The sequence below is a fragment of the Homo sapiens genome, chromosome 4 (assembly GCF_000001405.40).
Source record: "Homo sapiens chromosome 4, GRCh38.p14 Primary Assembly".
NCBI classification, from domain to species: Eukaryota; Metazoa; Chordata; class Mammalia; order Primates; family Hominidae; genus Homo; species Homo sapiens.
Window position 1 is genome coordinate 113,372,411 of NC_000004.12, and position 23,277 is coordinate 113,395,687.

The following is a 23,277-nucleotide window of genomic DNA, read 5'->3' on the forward strand; positions in this document are numbered from 1 at the left end:
ACTTGTCCATCAAAGCCTCCATGAATAAAAGTTTCACAATACAATGTAAGCTAAAGAAGAAACCAGTAGTGAAGTCATTCCTTAGCATGTTAAACAAAGCAATGCTTCCATGCTTCCACCAGGAGCTAACAGAGGAATTAGGGGAGCTGGAGGCCAGCTCAGATGAGGAGGCGATGGTAACTACCAGGGTTGTCCGCCGGCGAGTGATTATTCAGGTACCCACTGTTAAATTACTGCACGTCAGGGACAGTCCTGTCCCCATATTCTAAGAGTGATCAACCTGGATCAATGAAGGCTTGGCATGTTCCTTAGGTAGTGCATGGCCATTCAAAAGCAGATCCCTTAACTCTCATAAGTTCTGTTTGCAAACAAATGCAGTGGTTCCAGCTTTCCTCCAGGAGAGCCACCAAGCAAGAGCAAGACTTGGCTTCTTCACTTCCACCCACCTCACCTCTCGCTTTTCTATTTTTGTTGAAGTTTTATCTAACTTTGGTCAGATTCTCCTAAGCATGTTATTACCCACTTGAGTTTTTCACTAGTTGACAGGATTTTGTATCTCAGCAATGCTTCTCAACATCGCCTTTGATTTTCTAACATTCCTCACATTATAAGCACTTGGGAGTAGTTCCTCAGAATTGGTGCCAAACACCACAGTGACCCTTTTCTCTCAACTGTTTAGGGAGACGATATGCCTGAAATACCCCCAGAAACAGTCACAGAAGAAGAATACATTGATGAGCATGGACACACCGTGGTAAAGAAGGTATTGTCTAGTATATCCTAACAGGGTTGATTACAAACTTCCTGTTTAAAATTTATCAATTCCATGGTACTGTCACACAAAAATAAGATACACAAATGAAATACATTTCAGGTTACTAGGAAAATCATTAGGCGGTATGTATCCTCTGAAGGCACAGAGAAAGAAGAGATTATGGTGCAGGGAATGCCACAGGAACCTGTCAACATCGAGGAAGGGGATGGCTATTCCAAAGTTATAAAGCGTGTTGTATTGAAGAGTGACACCGAGCAGTCAGAGGTGAGACAACCTGATTCTCTAAAACCCATTTGATGGAGAGGAACAAAATAGAGCTCAAGAAAGATGAGTGAGATTGTTTATTCATATTTTCCTCACTTCTCCCTTTCATGTGGCAGTTTGCTCTTAGTTGCACATTCACCTTTTTGTTTTCATGATTCTATGTGATTTTAAGACAGCCATCAGGGAGACTTGTAGGCATTATACTCATTGTTTTTGTTTGGTCTTTTTAAAAATATCTATTCTTTATTTAATTCATGGTTGACCACTGCAGAAATCCAAAAGTCAAATTTTGAAAGAATACAATTCTATTTGCTGGGCAAGCAGTATGCTGTGGAGACACCGTGTAGAAACGCACTGTGGTGCTTGTGCCTGGTTGGCACACCAGCCTTCAGAAAGTCACTCTAGATAAATATTTGATATTCAGATTTCTGCATTGCAGAGTTACTAAAATCAGGATCGAGAAACTCTTTGATTTATCCTTGTTTTTTGTTTTAAGACAGAGTCTCACTCTGTCACCCAGGCTGGAGAGCAGTGGCGTGATCTGAGCTCACTGCAACCTCCACCTCCGGGTTCAAGCAATTCTCCTGCTTCAGCCTCCCGAGTAGCTGGGATTACAGGCACCCACCACCACACCTGGCTAATTTTTGTATTTTTAGTAGAAACAGCATTTCACCATGTTGGGCAGGCTGGTCTCGAACTCCTGACCTCAAATGATCCACCCGCCTCAGCCTCCCAAAGTACTAGGATTACAGGCATGAGCCACTGCACCTGGCAATCTATACTTTAATTTATTTCTGTTTTACTTCCCTTTTTCAGGGACATATTTACTTGTTTTGACAAATAGTTTGTGAAATTCTATTTTCCATTCATTCACATCCTCAAAATTTTATATTATACACATGAGATTCTCTAGAAATCTACTTTTCAGTTTCTCATAGCTTTTAGAGCTCCTCCTTTGAGGGCTAATTTCATCTTTGTAATACCAAAAGAAATTATTTAAACATGAGAAAAGAGAGTTTCTTCACATATTATTATGTCTGTATTACACTGAGCAGTTTCTTATTCACAAAACTGATAACTTTTTGTTCAAATGACTAATTAAGATTGCTTTGGTGTTGTGGAGATACAGTCATGATGTAGATATTACCAATAGGTTATAGTTCGTTTTTTTCTAACTCTGCTTCCCATTGCTGTTTTCTGGAAAGCCAGTATGTAACTTTATAGTTTTGTCCTTTGTTTTTTAACATAGAAAAAATTCATCATAGTTACATTTGGCAATCAGACATTGTCTATTGTGTGTCCTTCGATCATTAGGTCACTTTGTGTGAGCCCAGCATTTTGTCCAGTACCTCACAATTTCAGGCTGAGCCAGTGGAAGGCCGTAGAGTCAGCAAAGTTGTTAAAACAACTGTGGTACTTGGAGAGAGGATGGAGAAACATCTGGGGGATTCTAGTTTAGCCACTGATCTTCCTTCAGCCAAAGATGACTTTGAAGAGGTATAGAAGCATCATCATTTGTCTTTTTATGTGTGTGTTTTATGTTGCTTTGCATTTGAAAAGAAAATCGTTTGTCATTGTATCATTCTATACATGAATTCATGGAAAGGTGCAGAATAATTCAAGAGGGTAGAACTCCTGTTTGAATAACTTGCAGAGTAACGTTTCCTTAAACTGTGGTGTTCATTGGTGTCACCTTAACAGCTTTTAAAAATCCAGGTAACTAGGATTTGCTTCTGCTGAATCAGACTCAGAATCTCTGGAGCTGGTATATGATTATACATCTTGTTTAAAAGTCACAGAAGTGTCTTGCTTTGTCAATTAATAAGGGAAAGAAATAAAGACATTGCAAATTATATTTGCTAGCCAGTCTTTTCAAATATAATCTGTGATAGACATTAAAGAAAATTCAGATATATTCCATGTCCATAAATTTTAAAAGCATTTACAATTACTTAAGTTCTGGTTTCCAACAATTAGAAAATGGGTCCACGGTTGGCCAGGCACAGTGGCTCACACCTGTAATCCCAGCACTTTGGGAGGCCGAGGCAGGCGGATCACAAGGTCAGGAGATCGAGACCATCCTGGCTAACACGGTGAAACCCTGTCTCTACTAAAAATACAAAAAATTAGCCAGGCGTGGTGGCGGGTGCCTGTAGTCCCAGCTACTCGGGAGGCTGAGGCAGGAGAATGGTGTGAACCTGGGAGGCGGAGCTTGCAGTGAGCCGAGATTGCACCACTGCCCTCCAGCCTGGGCAACAGAGCGAGAATTCGTCTCAAAAAAAAAAAAGAAAAAAAAGAAAAAGAAAATGGGTCCACAGTAACAGATCCACAAACTCTTACTAAAATCCCCAAATGCTGAAAACCAAAACAAATTTTGTAAGTTAATTTGGAAGTGAAACTTGAAATAAATTGGCATGGAGCTATTATGACATGAAGCTTTTTTATTCTACCTAGAGTGAATGTTTTAGTGACATAAAAATGGGTTTGATTACAGGATGCCATCTTCGCTCTGGAGTATTAGTATTATATAGTACAGTCATGCATTGCTTAACCCACTTATGCCAGAGGTTGCCATTTTTAAAATTTTTGCATGAGTGAAAAATCAGACCTTGGTGATGACCTTGAGCAGTAGGATATAAATAACTTCCACATGCCTAGTGTTCACTAGGCATAAGTGGGTTTTAATGACAGGGATATGTGCTGGGAAATGCATCATTAGACAACTTTGTCATTGTGTGAACATTGTAGAATGTCCTTACACAAACCTAGGTGGTATAGCCTACTATACTTCTAGGTTATATGGTATAACCTATTGCTCCTGGCTACAAACCTGCACAGCATGTTACTGTGCTGAATACTGTAGGCAATTATAACACAATGGTAAGTATTTCCCTATCTAAAAATAGAAAAGGTACAGTAGATAAACAAAATAAAAGATTAAAAATGTTCTACCTGTATAGCATACTTACCATGTAGCTTGCAGGACTGGAGGTTGCTCTGGGAGAGTCAGTGAGTGAGTGGTGAGAGAATGTGAAAGCCTAGGACGTTATTATACACTACAGTAGACTTTATAAACACTGTACACTTAGGCTATGTTACATTTGTTTAAATTTTCCTTTAATTTTTTTAAATCTTCCTTCTGCAATAATAAATTAACTTTAGCTTACTGTAACTCTTTGACTTTATAAGCTTTTACATTTATTTTAACTTTTGACTCTTTTGTAATAACACAAGTTAAGATGCAAACACATTGCACAGGTGCATTAAAAATTGTTTTTCTTCATATCCTTGTTCTATAAACTTTTTTCTGCTTTTAATTTTTTAAATTTATTATTTGTTTTTACTTTTTAAGGTTTTTTTTTTTTTTTTTTTGGCTAAAAACAAAGGCCTAAGCATGTACATTAGCCTAGGCCTACACAAGGTCAGAATAATCAATATCACTGTCTTCCTCCTCCACATATTGTCCCACTGGAAGGTATTCAGGAGCAATAACATATGGAGTTGTCATATCCTAAGAAAACAATGCCTTATTCTGCAATACCTCCTGAAGGACCTGCCTGAGGCTCCTTGATAATTAACTGTTTTTTAATAAGTAAAAGAGTACACTCTAAAATAGTGATAAAAAGTATCACTTTTATAATACTTGATAATGATAATAAGTGACTGTTACTGATTTATGTATTTACTATACATAGTAAATGTATTTACCGTACATAAACCAGTAACATAGTCATTTATTATCATTATCAAGTATTATGTACCCTACATAATTGTATGTGCTGTGCTTTTATATGATTGGCACCTTAGTAGGTTTATTTACACCAGCATCGCCACAAACATCTGAGTAATACATTGCACCATGAAGTTAGAACAGCTATAGCATCACTAGGTGACAGGAATTTTTTAGCTCCATTATAATCTTATGGGACCATGTCATATATGCAGTCCATTTTTAACCAAAATGTCATTATGTAGCATGTGACTGTATATGCATTATATTACCTTGCTAAAATCCAAAAGGGACAAAAAAATCTAAATTTTGAAACACATCTGGTCCCAAAGTTTTGACTAAGGGATCCTGGGCATGTGCAAACATCTACAAAGTACTTTTGCTATTGGAACATTTTGACACTAAATGCTGTATGTGTGTCCTCTACTATACCCATAATATATATTGAAATTATATATGAATTCATTGGAATATTAAAAGCAAACCTCTTAAAATACTTTCAGTTTTCACATTTTGACAACTGGCAATCTTGAATGGTCAAAAATGAATTATCTGTGTTATACCATTTGGGCCTTGTTTGCTTGTTTTTGCCTCTGGTTCTTACATTTATCATTAAAATCTCCACTGTAGAAAGCAGTTGGGTGAAGCAAGGAGGAAATTGAAAGTCAATCCATATGGATGTTGCTTAGCAGCTTTTGTAAAGTACAATAACAAATCTCCCTCACAAATGAGAGAAACTAAAAGGACTTGTTAAATAAAACTCCAAACTTAAGTCTGCTTCTAGGAATTGTATTTATTTATCGTTTCAAGTATATCTTTTCATACTGACTATGAGTAAAGCAAAGCAATAGATTGTTTGAAAGTCTATAGTTTATGATGAGCTTTGTCTTTTCTTTTCTTCTTACTTCAGGCTTTGAGTTACACAGGTAGCCACATGAAAGTCCACTTACCCAGTTTAGTAGAGAATGAAATCCTGAAAGAGGATGGATCAATAATTAAAAGGTTTGGGTTAGCATGGGGTGATGCTTTGCCAACTAACACCATAAAAATTTTTCCAATTTTAAGAAAAGAAGGGGAGAATCCCTACATCTACCCTAAAGAGGATAGAAAACTGCCTACTCTCCTGTATTATAATACTTTGGTCAAGTAATGGATCTATTGAAGTATCATCCCTGAAGTATCCTCTTGATACTTCAAACATAATACTAAGTCATAGCAAGAATGAGACTCACGCTTACACAGTCTGACTCCCTGGGTTTTAGCAAGCCATCAACTTAGTTGAAGCCAGCCTGATGGTATTACATTGTGTCGATAGATTCAGAGAGCATAGGAAGAAGAATCTAATCGATGGATCACAGATTAATTTTGTGACCAGCTATATTCAGCTCAATCTTAGTAAATCATTACTTTGAATGGTATGTGCTTTCTTTTAACAGCTGCTTTATGATTCTGCATGTGAGTGGCCAATAACATAAGCATGAGTTTGATATCCATGAAACAAATATACCTAGCGATGCTGAAACCTGGGGCTTTAATGAGTTAAGCAAGTGTCATGAAAGCAGTAAGCAGCACATTTTTACGCTTATACAAGGGGGCTGACTGTGAGGCACACTGGTCTGCCCAGGTCTCTGTTATGGATTTGATGTATAAACTTGGGCACTGTTCCACAGATCTACTCTGGCTTCTCACTGGTCCTCTAACAGCACTGTAAGTATTGAGATTAATAAAATGTGCTCAGCTTCTCGGTGAAAAGACACAATGGAAATCCAAGTTACAATTGTGCTTCTCACTTCATTGAAAAGGGAGAAAGATTGTCATTCAGAGTATGCTACAGAACTATTTTAAGCCTTTAGAACATAATAATTAGAACAGCAAAATTAAAGGTTCTGTCACAATTCCACCCACCAATCAAATGGGAAAAGAGCAGCAGCTAGGAATTTAAAAGAGTGTAATTGCTCTCTCAGAACTTAAAAAATGCTACATGAATTAAGGATAAAATGCCTTTTATACTCTCAACTTTTAAGTCTTTTATTCAATTATTCAGATGAAACCACATAATCCACGCATGCACTAACATCATGGGCTCTTCAAACAGGAATAGATTTAGAGATCAATTAATCCAAAGTTCTCAATTACAGCTGGTGAATTTGAAGCCAGGAATATAGACAACTCCATAGAGTTTCCACAGCTAGTTAGTTATGGAAGCTAGTTAGTTACAGAACTCTATTTATGATGTACAACATTTATTTTATACATTGTTAAAGATATCATATACATGTGCATATTCAGAAACACATTGGCCTACATTTGCCTACACAGAATATCACGAAATGTCCTATAATGGAGGCTTAACCCCTGGCATCAATGCTATAAAGGCTTCTACTAGCTTTTAGCAGAAATAGTCAGAAAAGTGCCTTTTTGAAGAAAAAAAAAATGGCTGCCGCGTATTTAGGAAAACATCAGATTTCAATCATTGGAATCAAATTTGACCTTTTCATCAGCAAGAACAAATTTAAGTTTGCTTCCAGATGCAGAACAATTCATATAGTATTAAAGGAAAAAGGGGAGTAGAAGAACATAAGGGAAGAAGGAAGAAGGAAACAAGGATGTCCAAAAAAAAGCTGAAAGTATTTTAGCTGAAGTAAGTTATTTTTAAAAATCAGGATGATCGTAACAAATGCATAGAGGTATTGGATGATGGCAGAACTTCCAACTTCTGAACAATGAAAACATAAGGAAAATGCTGGGTAAAGCTACAAAAACTGATCATTTCCTATGGCGGTTTTAAGTGTAGATGCATAGTGTATGGTTATGGACTCAGGCTCTGGAATCTTTGACTCTTGGTCCCACTGTGTGCTAATTCTGTTATTTTTTGTTTGGACTATTGCTTAAATTCTCGGAGATTCAATTTCTTTATTTGTTATACTAGTGTCTGGCCCATACAACACATTCGTCAAATACTTGTGGAATGAGGACCCGCATTTGGAAGTGTATAGTGAAAAAGGCTGCTCTGCCTATGGAGTAGCCATTTTTTATTCCTTTGCTTTCCTAATAAACTTGCTTTTACTTTACTCTAAAAAAAAAAAGAAGAATATATAGTGAAAAGAATTGAGAATGAGCAAATTACTTTTAAGTACAGTTACAGGAAAATATTAGTATGACTTAAAATTAATATGACTATACAAAAGTTATAGCTCCTGGCCCAATGTGGTGGCTCACACCTGTAATCCCAACACTTTGGGAGGCCAAGGTGGACAGATCATCTGAGCTCAGGAGTTCGAGACCAGCTTGGCCAACATGACAAAACCCTGTCTCTACTAAAGATACCAAAAATTAGCTGGGTGTGGTGGCACACACCTGTAGTCCCAGCTACTCAGGAGGCTGAGGCCAGAGAATCGCTTGAACCCGGGAGGCAGAGGTTGCAGTGAGCCAAGATCGCACCAATGCACTCCAGCCTGGGTGACAGAACGAGACTCCGTCTCAAGAAAAGGTGTTATAGTTCCTTTTCTCAAGTAACCACCAGTCTTATAAGGGAGGCAAGTAAACAACAGACTGTTAAATGGCAAGAAATACACAAAATGAGCAACATATGTGAGGCTTGGAGAATCCGGAGGAAGCAGTTGTCTCTCAATGGCTTTTCTCTTTTCCCCTTCCTCCCCCACCATCTCCATATGAAGCCTTAGAGACCTGGGCAGATCTTCATCTTTTGTTGGGAGCCACCTTCTTATATATTGATAGACTAATATTTTAGTTTTTAAAGACATATGCCTCATAAAAAACTTCTCTGAAAACATAATTTTGGGAAGTTTGGGTCAGGGTATGACTGTAAGGTTTAAGCTGGCAGCCAAGGTGTTTCAAATAAATTAAAAAAAGGTTTTTTTAGCCTGTCAAAAGGTACTTGTGGTACTATTTCAGAATTAACCAAACTCTATTAAGTAAGGGCTACTTAATCAAACCATGAATGATTTTATGGTTAGTTTTTGAGAAGATCAAATTAAAGCATGGTTTCATTTATTTTAAATTTTTCTTAAAGATTTAAAAAATACTCCTTGTTCCAAAACACATTTTAAAAAAATCTCATGAATCGTTTGAGAGAGGGGAGCCATGTTTAAAAGAAAGACACAAAAAGATGTCTATAGTTTGTTATGCTAATAGTTTGCTGTGGAAACATCTAAAGGTAAGACATTAGGTACTCAGTGTAATGGTCACCTTCATTCCTAACAGCTGCCCTCTGGCAGTGAAAAGAGCGTAATTCTCTCTTGTCTGCTTTTCTCCAGGACAACAATGAGTAAAGCCATCACACAGAAGAGGGCTGTGGTGAAGGACCAGCATGGAAAACGCATTGACTTGGAGCACCTGGAGGATGTACCAGAAGCACTAGACCAGGACGACCTCCAGCGCGATCTCCAGCAGCTCCTTCGGCATTTCTGCAAGGAGGACTTGAAGCAAGAGGCCAAGTGAGGGGCTGCCCAGTTCTCACACCAGAAACCACACATTCACTCAATATGCAGCTTCCTGTTTCAGTAGGGGAGTGACCTAACTGGCCTAATTAATGGGATACCCCGACATTTCCACTGTTAGCAAATATACGGCATTTTGCTTTAGTTTTCCCCCATCCTCTTTAACTATAAAGCTAATTTGTGACCAAAGATGGCATCCTTCATACTGGATGCTGTATCCAATACTTTGTTGTGTCTGTGCTAACCTGGGAACTGGCCACCTCCATTGTTCTTTGCTTCTGCACAAGATCCATGAAAATCCATTGATCAGAAGAACTTCACCTGCAGACCTCTTCAAGTGACACTATGTAGGAATCCTTCCAAGGAATATCTATGTACAATGTATATAGCTGAAATGCTCAGATGAACAACATATTAAAATTAAAACCACTGCCTATTGTAACTACACTGGGCATCAGAATAAAAGGCCTCTAGAAATTGCTGAACAATGGTTAATTAAGATATTGCTAACACAATCGAGTGATAATACAGTTTTACTGCAAAAGAAGCACTTCAAACCTATTATGTCCTTAGAACTTCCAGAGTAGCCACTGCTCCCAGTTAAAGGTGGGTCAGTAGCCTTGCAGAACTGTCCTGAGAAGTTATTGCTGGTGCTGGCCAGCCATGGCTTAGGACTCCAACAGCCACTCTGAGGGAGGGGAGAAGGGAGCAGAGGCCACGCAGAATGAACCGATGGGGTATTCAGTTGCTGGCAGCTACATTGTGTGGCATTCTAGCATCTTCAGGTCTTTAGATCTTGGACAAGTTGGCAGGGTATTTTAAAAGCTATAACTACTGTAGTTTTCCAGTTTTCATTGCTGCTTTAGCAAACCACGCTGTCTTACAGTGGTACTTTCTTCTGGCCACTGCACTGTAGATAATTCATTGGAAACAAGATTTACCCACTACATAAAAGGTTAAACTCCTTCAGTATGTTGGAGTGGTTTCTTTTTTTTTTTCTTTCTTTCTTTTTTTTCTTCAGGTTTATATCTTCTCTAATACCTGCATGTGGCGTTTAAAAATCAAGACCACGGTCAAACCCCTCTTCTAATCACATTAATTGTTTCCATTCTTTTTACCCTGAGTGAGCACTTTTCACTTTCCAGCTAGGTCTGTTTTTCAGCTTGCAGACAAGATTGAGAAATCCTTGAAAATTTGGTTTTGGTTAAAATTTTTGGTTTATTTATTTGAAATCCACACTCCCTTGGAAACTCTTAAGTGCATTTGTGCACTTCTGTTTGTTTGTCTCAAAGAAGGGACTGTAACAATCTGAGTAATTTCCATGTCCTCTTCCTTATTCCTCTAGTGGTTGAAGCTGTGTAGCATTTTAACATATATATATTCACAAATATATTCATATAAACAGTATACATTTTGAATCAGTCATTTGTTAAAGAAAAGTATATTCAATGAAGATGAAATTTAAATAAAAAAGGACAGAGTCTATCCTCCAGGGATTGAACATTTTCCAATTATCTGGTCTTTTCCTGTTGTGCAAAAATGACTCATTGCTCCGAATGTCAAAAACAAATGCGACAAACAATGGCACTTCATCATTTAAAGTAATGTTGCCAAGAGAAAAAATTTCCTGGGAGGGAGGTTTCCCACAAGCCAAATCTCCTAAGCCTCAAATGCTAGCACTTTTTGGCAGTTGGATAGGAAATGAGACATTCTTTGGCAGCCAAAATAAGAGAGGCCGATGGTGAAACTTTTTGAGACACCCTATGGCCTTCTTGTCAAAACCTTCACTGGAGCTCAAGAAAAGCATTTCTGTTGTGTTATTTGCAGTGCAGATGATGTCTGTGTAACAACATAATGGTTATTCACCTTTTTTTGATTTTGATTTTTGCTGTGTTATCAAAAACTTGAATACTGTGAGAAGAAGTGAATTTTCAGTTGACGAATCAGCATCTTGTTCCCATGGTGATAACACTAATTGAATATATCTATGAGGGCATGTATTAGTTAATGGAAAAAAAAATACAACACTAACAATACATAGCTGCAATGTGTACAATGGCTGATTTAATTAAATAAAATGTACAAGTGTTAAATGTGGCAACGGTGATTTGTTCTTCTTTATCATGAATCTGTGATTTCAGGAGAATAAGAGGTTTTAAAAAGTTGAGCTAGACTTGAAACCAACAGAAAGACACAAATTGCTTTTTTTCTTATGGTTTTTATTTAGTCGCTGAATATGCTATATGCCTGGCACTGGATTAAGCACTGGGATAAATAGATTTTGCCTCTGCCCTCAAGAAATTCTTATTGTTCTTGTTATGCAAAAGAAGAAAATGAGGATTTTTGTTTTGGATCACTACTAAATGAAAGAAAATAGGAATTTGGGGACTTGCAGGGGATGAGAAAGGGTAAGTGGGATTGGCAGCACAGCAAGACTGGTTTGGTTCTCTCCCATGAGGCCATGGCTGTCACTAAATACTTTCTGTCTTTGGGAACAGCAGTTGGCTCTGGAGTTTTCTTTCTGTCTTAGAGCCTGAGAATTTAAAATTAAATGGATATATTAATATAAATAAAGACAGGGTAGGACTATGGAAAATCAAAATCAGTTGTGTGTGGAGAGTTTTGTTTCATTTTTTGAAAAATCCCTTTACTGTTGCTTTAATATTTTTTACAGTAAAAACAAAACAAAAAAGACATGATTTAGAAATTGAGTAGGTTTTATTTAAATCTTATCTGGTATGAGACAGGAAGCTCACTGGATCTGATTTCTATCCTTGGTTGATTTACAGGTCTTCTGAACTTAAAATACCAATTATGCTTGACATTTTTCAAAGAAAACAGTTAAAAATAATTCCAAAGTAGGAGTGTCTGTGTGATCATCTCTCTCCTTCTCATTTGTTTAATGTGCTGTACTTTCTACTTACAGGAACTCTGGGCTTGTGTTACTTTGGGTTTGATTAAGGAAATCAAAGCATCAGAGAAGATTCAATGTCTTCTCATGTTTAATTATTTGCTGTGCAAAACCCATTTTTGTAAAAGAACTTCAGTGAGTCATATGCCGTTTTACAGAAGTATATTTAAAGGTAGGGTGGGGGAAACTTCCAGACTGAGAGAAGATTATGCACCACTCATAAATCATTTGTATTAGTCATGAAGAGGTGAAAGTGACATATAAGCACTCGGAAACAGGCTTGAATTGAATTTGAAATTAGTTTGCTCGTGGAGTCACTTGATTTCTGTAAGCATGGAGAGTCTGGGTGTGGGCAAGTAGTCAGGCAAATGAATAAATCAGATAAAGAGAAGTTAAACGTAGGTCTAGTGAGAACCAAAATCACTACGAGGTTCTCCTGAATAACAGAATAAAAATGAACTGCTTGCTTTCATCATGCTCTAAAAGAAAATATTTCAAAGTCTATGTCTTTGGTTGCCACCTCTGCTTAAAAACTATATGCTCCTTCCTTCATTTAAGGTATCATTTCTCTTTCTAATCTAATTGAAGCTAGAATTACAATCATAGACTGAATCACCAAAGTAAGAAAATCTTTTAGATATCTGTGCGGTGGGGATGGAGGGGGCGATGTCCTGAACACAAATTAAAATACTCCTATTGGGTTATACTCAGGCCTTCTGGGAAAAACAAAAGTACTCCCTGGCTTTAAATTAGTTCCACAGTATGAAGTAAATAGTGCATATGGATAGACTTTGGATGGAGCTATTATCTATGGTAAACAGAGACATTTGGCAGTGGCACATGTAATATTTCAAGAGATGTCTTCAGTCACTGGAGACATTCAGTTGTTCAGTTCATGGAATGTTTCCATGAGGCAATGTGACAAATTGGTAAGTGTGTTATCTTACAGTAAGACCTGGATTGGAATCAGTCCAGCTCTGTCTAGCCCCCTTCCATGACTTTGTAAAGGTTTATCGACTGGATGACAATTTCCTCATCAGTAAAATAGGAGACACTGCTACTAGCCTTGGATGCATCTCACTGCTCCAGGCAGGGAAGGTCAGCCAGCCCTGGCCTGTCTGTCACTCCTTAGTGTAGAAGAGCCCCTGTTGTGCAAGTATCCTTGATGTCCGTTCATTGTGGATCCCTGTTTGTGACCCTCTGCCTCTTTGTGTAGGAGTCAGCCTCGGGGTAGGTGTTAAAGGCATTAGCTTACCCCTGTAGGTTAGAAAATACAGTTAAATCTTTTCCTATTATAATGAGAATCACAGGGATGTTGTCAGTTAAGCCCTTCGATTCACTTCCCATTTGGAGGAAGGACTCTTCAGGATCTCTTTCTGTTTCTTCAGTGGGCCCTGTATTAGTCAGGGTTCTCTAGAAGGACAGAACTAATAGGATAGATATGTATACGGGGAGTTTATTAAGGAGTATTAAATCACATGATCTCAAGGTCCCACTATAGGCTGTCTGCAAGCTGAGGAGGAAGGAAGCCAGTCCGAGTCCCAAAGCTGAAGAACTTAGAGTCCAATGTTTGAGGGCAGGAAGCATCCAGTGTGGGAGAAAGATGTAGTCTGGGAGGCTAAGCCAGTCTAGTCTTTTCACATTTTTCTGTCTGCTTTATATTCTGGCCATGCTGGCAGCTGGATTAGATGGTGCCCATCCAGATTGAGGGTGTCCCTGCCTTTCCCAGCCCACAGACTCTAATGTTAATCTCCTTTGTCAACACTCTCACAGACACACCCAAGATCAATACTTTGCATCCTTCAATCCAATAAAGTTGACACTCATTATCAACCATCACAGGCCCTTATAACTCGGTTCTGGTTTCCATTCCTTTTTCTTCCCCCACACTCTCTATTTTGAGGTGTTCTTTTTTTCTTACCTGTCAAAACTGACTACAGAATTGGAGAGAGTCACTCAAACTCCCCTACTGAATGGCTATGCCCCCATTAGCAGCAGGTCCTCCACAGCTGCTACAGAGCATTGTGGGCAGGGTCTGGGCTTGACTGGAGGTGGCTATGGACACCTCAGCTGCCTTTATGATGTGCAGAAAAAACTGAATCATGATATCCACAAAAAATACACATACGCATTGTGCCAGTTTTTCCTGGCTGTTGATCAGAACTCAGACCTCGTCTAGGCTGTGCTACAGAACTCACATGGCACTGGTACAGCAGCAACTTCTGGATGAAAGGTGCCTTGTGTGAATTTTTCAAGTGACTCACAGATAGGTGATACCTTGGAGCCTTAGAGAACGACCATAGCATACCCTTTCTCCTCAAAGAGTCAGGGAGATAATTTAGAGTCTATTGTTCTAACAATCCAATTTGTGTTCAGATTAATGTAGTAGTTTCCTAGGGCTGCCATAACAAAATAGCATGAACCAGATGATTTAATCAACAGAAAGTCATTTTCTCACAGTCCTGGAAGCTAAAAGTCTAAGACTGAAATATGGGCAAGATTTTTTTTTCCTGAGGTCACTCTCTTTGGCTTGCAGACCACCACCTTCTCGCTGTCCTCACATGGACTTTCCTGTCTGTGTGCCCACATCCCTTATGTCTCTGTGTATGTCCAATTTTCTGCATTTTGTAAGGATGCCAATCATATTGAATTACAGCCAACCTTAATGGCCTCATTTAACTTAATCACCTTTTTGAAGACCCCTATCTCCAGATGCAGTCACATTCTGAAGTAGTGGGTGTTAGGGGCTTTGACATGAATTTGGAGGAGGAGAGGACACAATTCATCCCCTAACAATTGGGCTTAATCCAAAAAACAAAGCCCTCTAGGTATTTTAAGAAGGAAGGGATCTAATGCAGGGGATTAGAAACTCACACCAGTGTCAGGAGTGCCACAACAAATGAAGGCAGGTGTAAACCAAAAACGATCTGAGACAGGTCGCAATCAGTTTAGAAATTTATTTTGCCAAAATTGAGGACATGCCTGGGAGATAGGTCTGTGCCTTCTTCGAAAATAATTTTGAGGGCTTCAGTATTGAACGGGGAAAAGCAGGCTGGAGGAGGAAAAGGAAGGGTATGATCACACTACTAAATTCACATGCTGCAAGGGAAAAGGAGCAGGTAGGGGAATACTCAATTATGTATTCGTTTGGCACTCAGTAAATTGGCGCTTTACATAGAGTAGCTACCCGTGGGGATTTTTAACCTTTTATTGTAGCTATCTGCTTAGAAACAAAAGGAAAGTCAGTGTCTTGCTTGACTCAGCTTTCAGCTTAATTTTTTCCTTGTGGCATAGTGCATTGGGGGTCCCAAGCTTTTATTTTCCTTTCACACTGAGGAGCTACTACTGCTACGAAGAAATCCACCAGTGCAGAAATCAGAAATCCAAGCTGCCACTGAAGGGCTCAGATTCATGTAGCAGCAAAGTATATGTTTCTTAGGAGATAGCCCATATATGGCTGCAAAAACACTCCATGTGTCTTCTGCCAGAGTCCATGCACCTCTCCCCAGCTGCTCCCAAAGGTATAATCATTTTTCTTCTCTTTCCTTTTCAAATCTTGGGCAAACAACTTTCATCGGCAAAATCAAATACATAACCCCACTGGAAAGGGATTCCAAAAAATGTATACCTGAGGCTCTTCCCCCAACATGCAGGGAAGAATGTAGAATAGGTCCAAAATAATGCTCAGCTGCTAACAATCAATCACAGTGGCTAAGCCAGAGAATAACAGTCTTCATCCATCCACAAATGCATGCAATTCAAGACCTACTATATTTTAAACATTGTGCTATAGTGCTCAGGGTAGACTGGGCCAAGATCATGGCCCAATGGGTCACTTTTGCTGAGTTTTCACTATTGCCAGTTACTATTCAATGCTCTTCTTTCATCTCCATCACAATCCTAGGAAACAGATCCAGGTGAGGAAACTGAGGGGAAAAGAAATTGAATAACATGCCCCAAATCATGCAGAGAGAAAACGACAAAGCTGGGATAAGAACTCAAGCAAATGGCACCAACAATAAACAACACTCCATCTTTGAAAAACACAGACCCTTCCCTTTGGATTTATAATCTTGCAGCAGAGACATATTGAACTGATCATTTAACAATTAATTAAAAATTACTTTTCTTCCGGAAAAAATTCTTCTTCTTCTGGAAAAATATATTTATAAAGGGAAACAGACCTTATTCAGTAACTTTGTCATTACTATTCTGAAAAATCTCTTTCTTGCTTCTCAAGCCCATTTTCTCTTCCTTATCTGCTTCACATTTGGCAGATGAACTTGACGCTGTTTTATAAGAAAGTAGATGTCAATGGGCATGAATTACTACAATGCTATATTAGGGTTCTCTGGAAAAACAGAACCAATAGTGTGTATGTGCCTGTGTGCATGCATGCCTGTGTGTGTGTGTGTGTGTGTGTGTGCACACATATATAAAGAGATTTATTGTAAGGAATTGTTCCACATGATGATGGAGGTTGAGAAGTCGCAAGATCTGCACTCAGCAGAGTGAGCAGAGCTGATATAGATTCAGTCTGAAGGCAGGCTTGAGATCCAAGAAGAGCCAGTGTTTCCGTTTGAGTCTGAAGGCAAGAAAACTAATAGCTGAAGGGCAGTCAAGCAGAAGTTTTGTCTTAGTTTCTTTTATTTTCTTTTTGTTGTTGTTCTATGTAGGTCTTTGATTGATTGGGTGAGGCCCACCTGTATTAGGGAGGGCAGTCTGCTTTACTCAGTTCACCCATTCAAATGTTAATCTCATTCTACAAACACACTCACAGACATACCCAGAATAGGGTTTAACCAAATATCTGGGCACCCCATGACCCAGTCAAGTTAACACGTAAATTAGCCATCACAAATGCCTTTTCTATTACTACCTCCAAAATTGTCTGTATTTACGTGAACCCTACTACTCATTGTTCTCACAAAGAATGCTCTCTTGTCTCCTGGATTTATGGCCTGTGTCCTTGCTATGGTCTAAATATTATGTTCAAAATTCGTATGTTAAAATCACCCTTGCAATGTGATGGTATTAGGAAGTGAGGCCTTTGGGAGGTGATTCATATGTTGAAATCCTCCACCCTCAACATGATAGTATTAAGAGGTGGGGCCTTTGGCAGGGCTTCACCTTCATGATTCGGATTAGCATCCTTATAAGAGAGACCCCAGAGAGCTAGCTAGTTACTTCTGCCATGCGAGGACACAGTGAAGGTGCCATCCATGAACTGGAAAATGGGCCCTCACCAGACACCAAATCTGCTGGCATCTTGACCTTGGATTTCACAGTCTCCATAACTGTGAGAAATAAATGTCTATGTTTACAAGCTGTCCAGTTTATGGTATTTTGTTACAGCATCCCAAACGGACAAAGACATTCTTGCTGTCCCCTCCCCATCTCCTGCGGCCTTGCTCTGTCATGGTGTGCTCACTGATGATGGCTTTCTCTCCCAGCCTGTGAGCACAGCTTATGAGAAAAATAGATTTATCCCTGAATCCTGTCTTTACACCTAACTAATGCTCTCTTTCTCTCTCTCTTTTCCTTTGCCTTTTTTTCTACATATGCTTTCCTAGTTTTTCATTACTCAATCTTCCTGCAGTGTGGCTTCAAAAAATGCTGAACAGTAAACATATTAGAAACTATGAGATATGGCTAAACAGAGGTCAGAAGAAAACTAAAAGCTTCAAACTAGGGTTCTAATTCCTGTGCTGAGAGTAGCCAGACAGGAAAATAATATGTGAATTGTCTGAACATAGAAAATCAGGAGAGGGGCTGGCCTATGGCAAACTTAAGAGAACATGCCACATATTATATATATTGAGATAAATAGAAACCTTCAATTTATGAAGGTTTTAATGTAGGAAATAAAAATGTGAAAATGCAAAATATATCTAAGAGTTACCTTTTGAAATAATAATATTGATAATGGCTAGTAACATCATCAAGAGGTAAAAGAGAAAGTAGAAATATGCAATGATAAAAAAGAGAATGGAGGCTGAGTGCTGTGGCTCATGCCTGTAATCCCAGCACTCTGGGAGGCCAAAGTGGGAGGACTGCTTGAGCCCAGAAGTTCTAGACCAGCCTGGGCAATGTGGTGAAATTCCGTCTCTACAAAAAAATTTAAAAATTAATGAAATATGGGGATGCGTACCTGTGTTCCCAGCTACCTGGAAGGCTGGGGCAGGAGGATTGCTTGAGCCCAGGAAATTGAGGCTGCAGTTAGCTATGATCATACCACTGCACTCCATCCAGCCTGGGTGACAGAGCAAGACTGTCTCAGAACAAACAAACAAACAAAAACAAAAAAAGGGGGGGGAGATAATTAGAGAGGAAATAATAGATAATAGTAAGAAAATGTTACCTTATTTTTTGTAAGTAAATATAAAAACTCCAATAAGAGAGATGATTTTTAAAAGATAATTAATAAAATCTACCACAGAAGAGATAATAAAGGTAAACCCCAATAACCATAAAATAATTTGAGTCAGCAAATATTTAACCCCACAAGAAAGAATGAGATCTAGGTGCTGTCACAGATGGATTCTCTTAAACTCTCAATACACAGATAATTTTAATACTGAAACCACCAGAGACTCCCAGGAGAAAAATTCCTAGTTTATCTTGTTTTAAGACAGCAAGTATATCATTGGTACCCAAACTGGGCAAATTACATCAAAAGAACCTCAAAATAACACAACAAAAATTCTTAGACCAATTTCACTAAGGAATCTCTTTACAAAAATTACAAATAAAATATAATATAATTGACAATGCATTTTAAAAACAAACTATAAACAAATGGTTTCGTTCCAAGCAAAAATAGTTCATTAGTAATAGCTGTTAATGAAATTCCTCATATTGGAAGATTAAAGGAGAAACAACCACATACCAATGTTTCCATAGTTGGCCAAGAGGCATTTGGTGAAATTTAGCATCCATTTCATGTCCTTTTAAGAAAGTAGGAAGGGATGTATTCTTCCTGAAGGCAATCAAATTATGTATGTGTATGTGTATGTATGAATTGCATTTCCTTTACAAATGATCAAATAATCCTTTGTTAAGAGCACTTAAGTTACAATCATTTTAGCGTAGCTTTTGCAATAATTTGCAACAACAGAAAAAACCTTATCTCTGATTTCTCACCCAACACAACCACATCTCTCCTCTTGCCTGCCTTGTGCTGGCCCTCAGCATCACCAATTAAACCATTCATTTTTATTGTGGTTTTTTTTTTAATAAAGATGGGGTTTTACCGTGTCACCCAGGCTGGTCTCAAACTCCTGGACTCAAGTGATCCACCTGCCTCAGCCTCCCAAAGTGCTGAGATTACAGGTGTTAGACACACACCTGGCCTATCATTCCTTTTAAAATTGGTATCTAAATTGTTAGCTCATCTGCTTACAAGGTGATATCAGTTAGGGAGTATTTATGAATTCTTTCTTGTAAAAAGGTCAAAATCCTCATACATTTATTAAGAAACACAAAGAGAAAGCAAATTGAAGATTCTATTGTCACATAATACAGTTAGAAAGAATTTACTTTTAAGATGTAGTTCACAATTGATTTTGATTTTAACTAGAATTTGTGCTTCATCAGGAATACCTTTTACTTCATGCCTTTTTATCTTGTAACTTTTTTTTTAATTTAATTACGGGAACTAAGAAGGGGACACATGCTCCTCACACCAAAATTCATCTTGTTTGAAGATGAACACTGGGAGCATTTCTGCTTTAAAACTGAGAATAAGACAATAAAGTCCCCTATGTCCTTAGTGGCATAACATTAAAGGCAAAGTATTAAAGGCATAATATTAAAAAGGAAGTATTACTCAATTCAATACAATGGACAAAAAACAAGAAATACAGTATAAAAATAAAAAAAAGAATAGGTAAACATTGTCAATATGCAAACGATGTTTGTGAATCAGGAAAGCCAAAAGGAACCAACTGAAAGAAAAATTACTGTCAACCATTTGGTCACTCTTTTCAACTCATCATAGAATATGTCTAACTTTCCTTAACACACACACACACACACACACACACACGCACACACACACACACACACAGACCCCTCCAAATTAAAAATAAAAATGAAGGGAATTTTATATATCATTTACAATAGAGAATAAATGCCTAGTTATACATTTAGAAAGAGCCTATTTTAAAATGTTTCAAGTTTTTACTTCCATAAATGGAGGGACTTGCACTAACTTATATATATATAGGCATATAACAATTTAAATACATCAATTCCTTCTTAATTTATTTCTTAATTTAATAAGATCACCATAAAATTGCTTATAGGATTTTAATTTGAGTTGATAGGAAGAAAAAACAAGAATGTGAATTAATCAAGAAGATTCTATGGGTAAGAAAAAAAGGAATGTTGTCACCTGACTCAGTAGACCTACCGGATATTAAAATATATTTTAAGCCACTGTTTGTAAAACAGTTTAGTACTAGAGTAGCAAGAGACAGCGAGAGCAATGAAATAGGATGGGGAATCAATGGAAATTTGGCACATAATAAATACAGCATTTCAAATGAAGCCTAGACACTATAGTGTTAGGTCAAATGGCTGCTAATTCGGGGCAGGAAACAAAGCTGAATGCCTATGCGTTACCTTCACCAAAATCCCTTATAGATAGCTCAATTATTTACATGTAAATTTTTTTTAAAGAACCCGTAAAAGTAATAAAAGAAAGCTTAGGCAAACGGTTTATTACCTTTGGTTAGGAAGATCTTTGTAGGCAAGAAAAAAATCATGGTGGAAAAAAATAATACATTTGACCATATAAATATTTTAACTTTCCATGCAGAAAGAATATTATAAGCTAAATTAAAAGATAAATGGAAAAGCATAAATTTACTGTCCAAAAAAGTCTCATATGCCAACAATTTAACAGAAAAAAAAGCAAAAAATATGAACAAGCTGTTCACATAGGCACACAAAAACATTCAAATGACTTGTTTACCTGGGAAAATATCCTGGTCTCATCGATAATGAAAGAAATCATAAATCAAAACATTAAGATGCAACTTTTTAACCCATCAATTTCGAAATAATTACAACTTTTATAAGACCAAGTGGTCGCCCAAGAGTGGGAAAACGGGGCACTCATAGGCCAGTGGGAATGAAAAATAATGCACGAAGACAACACCTTTCAGAATTAAACATTTAGAAACTCCTTTGATTCAACAATTCTACTATAAGGAATTTATTGATCATCTCCATGCAAAAGGAAGATATTGTACCTTTTAAAAAATCATAGTAAAAATATTCAAATTTTATATCTATAACAGGATGCATAATGGAACATGTATAGCTGTTATCTTCAAGATATGTCTTGGCCCGAGCGTGGTGACTCACGCCTGTAATTGCAGCACTTTGGGAGGCCGAGGAGGGCAGATCACTTGAGCTTAGGAGTTCAAGACCAGCCTTGCCAACATGGTGGAACCCTGTCTCTACTAAAAATATAAAAATTAGCTGGGCGTGATGGTGCATGCCTGTAATCCCAGCTACTTGGGAGGCTGAGGCTTGCAGTGAACTGAGATCGTACCACTGCACTCCAGCCTGGGCAACAGAGAGTCTAAAAAAAAAAAAAAAAAAAAAAAAAAGATATATCTTATATGAGTAAGTAAGGTCCAGAGGAGGCGGCAGAGCACGTACTCACATTTGTGTAAAATGTAATTTATGTGTAAACATGTGGATTTATTCATAGTTGTTCTCCAGGTCTCTATAAAAAGGGAGACTCATCAAGTACTATGTAGTTTCTTTCTTGCCCCTTCCTTCCTCCCTCCCTCCCTCCCTCTCCTCCTTCCTTCCTTCCTTCCTTCTTTCCTTCCTTCCTTCTTTCCTTCCTTCCTTCCTTTCTTCCCTCCTTCCTTCCTTCCCCCCTTTCCTTTCTTCCTCTTTCCCTCCTTCCTTCATTTCTTCTTTGTTTGTCTTTCTTCTTTATCTTCTCTTTAATCATATGCTATTTAAAGGAAGGGTAGATGATCTAGTTATAAATAATCAAATACAACAGAAATAGATACTGGCAGTGAAATGTTGTTAATATATAAACAACACTTTGGTTTTAAATAATTGGAGAGGTGAGTTAAACATAGGAAAGCTGTAAATACTCAAAAAGAGCAATACCTTACATGATTTGTATGAAAAAAATGCAGTTACTTGTAAATATAAATAATAAAAACATCCAGTAGTTTTGACTTACACTGCATTATAGAGACAACACATGCAGACTTTGTAACCTGCCTGGTGAGCCTTCTGCAAATAAACGGCTCTTGTGGTACTGTGTCATTTCTTACCGTATAGAAGATAATTTCCCAAACTAGCCACTAGAGGGCAGCAGACAATCAGTCATTTGCCTTAGGAGTGGCTTCCACACTAGACTGGAACTTTCCGAGCTCCTTAGCTTTGTAACTGGAAACATTGCTGAACTTTTCTAGATCACAGTTTCACCTGTAAAATGTGGAGAGACTTGTGGACTGGCTGACTCTAAAACCTTTGCCAGCTCTAACAGGCCTCGATTTTAACACATAGTTGTATTCTCATAGTGCCCATTAAGTTAAACTGTATTAAAGTTCAACCATCAAACAAACAAAAACTAAGTTCAAATGTGTTTAGATATTATTCCTTCTTTCAAACATCGCTAACGGTTCTTGAGAGCCTCTTATGAGCCAAATATTGCTCTAAGCACTTTGCTGGCATTGTCATTTACAAAACACTCCTGTTGAGGTAAGTGCGGTTCTGGTGTCCACTTTGCAGATGAGGTTGGTGATGTACACAGACGTAGAGTAACTTGTCCAAGCTCTCACGGTTAGAAAGATAGGTCCAGAATGGTAGGGTCACATTTGTAACAGCTCCATTACACTAGGAACTATTAGTGCGATGAAAGGCAATAAAATGTCTAAGAAAATGGTAATAATTGCATCTGGCTGGCGATTCACAGTTTTTCCCTTACAGAAAATGACTTTCTTGTGAGCGTTTTGGGGTACAGAATCACATAATTACATCCTATACCTTGTTACTTAAGTAATATTTACTTACCGTAAAAGCAAATAATAATTTACAACCACTGTTGATCTCTGGGCTAATCTCCATCAGCCCCCTTCCCCAACATCCACCTCTC

At 38.0% G+C, this 23,277-nt stretch overlaps 1 protein-coding gene and 1 long non-coding RNA gene across 75 annotated transcripts in view, besides 1 other annotated feature; one reads left to right on the forward strand and one right to left on the reverse strand.

The window, feature by feature from the left end:
* Nucleotides 1-11,326, forward strand: part of ANK2 (ankyrin 2) — a 678,115-nt gene extending 666,789 nt beyond the window's left edge. For 35 of the 73 annotated variants that reach the window (NM_001386148.2, NM_001354269.3, NM_001386187.2 and 32 more), the window contains 3 exons: nucleotides 680-763; nucleotides 875-1,039; nucleotides 9,047-11,326. In NM_001386148.2, the coding sequence (NP_001373077.1) occupies nucleotides 680-763; nucleotides 875-1,039; nucleotides 9,047-9,061 (264 nt within the window). In that variant the 3' untranslated portion in view covers nucleotides 9,062-11,326. Of the gene's footprint in view, nucleotides 1-122; nucleotides 216-679; nucleotides 764-874; nucleotides 1,040-2,353; nucleotides 2,537-5,679; nucleotides 5,772-9,046 lie in introns of all 73 variants that reach the window. The other 38 variants (NM_001386186.2, NM_001386147.1, NM_001386160.1 and 35 more) reach the window with 7 other exon arrangements.
* Nucleotides 13,068-13,797: an enhancer, noted in NCBI's record as "NANOG hESC enhancer chr4:114306634-114307363 (GRCh37/hg19 assembly coordinates)". NCBI's record gives its function as "activates a minimal SCP1, AML or CMV promoter by ChIP-STARR-seq in naive H9 embryonic stem cells {active_cell/tissue: H9 hESC(naive)}" and the evidence as "EXISTENCE:reporter gene assay evidence [ECO:0000049][PMID:30033119]".
* LOC105377374 (uncharacterized) overlaps nucleotides 15,083-23,277 on the reverse strand; it is a 46,775-nt gene continuing 38,580 nt past the window's right edge. Inside the window, exons 5-7 of one of the 2 annotated variants that reach the window (NR_199843.1) lie at nucleotides 19,030-19,119; nucleotides 18,292-18,411; nucleotides 15,083-16,040 (exon numbers count right to left, since the gene is read on the reverse strand). This is a non-coding gene — a long non-coding RNA (uncharacterized LOC105377374). The remainder of the gene's footprint in view (nucleotides 16,041-18,291; nucleotides 18,412-19,029; nucleotides 19,120-23,277) is intronic. The other variant, NR_199847.1, reaches the window with a different exon arrangement.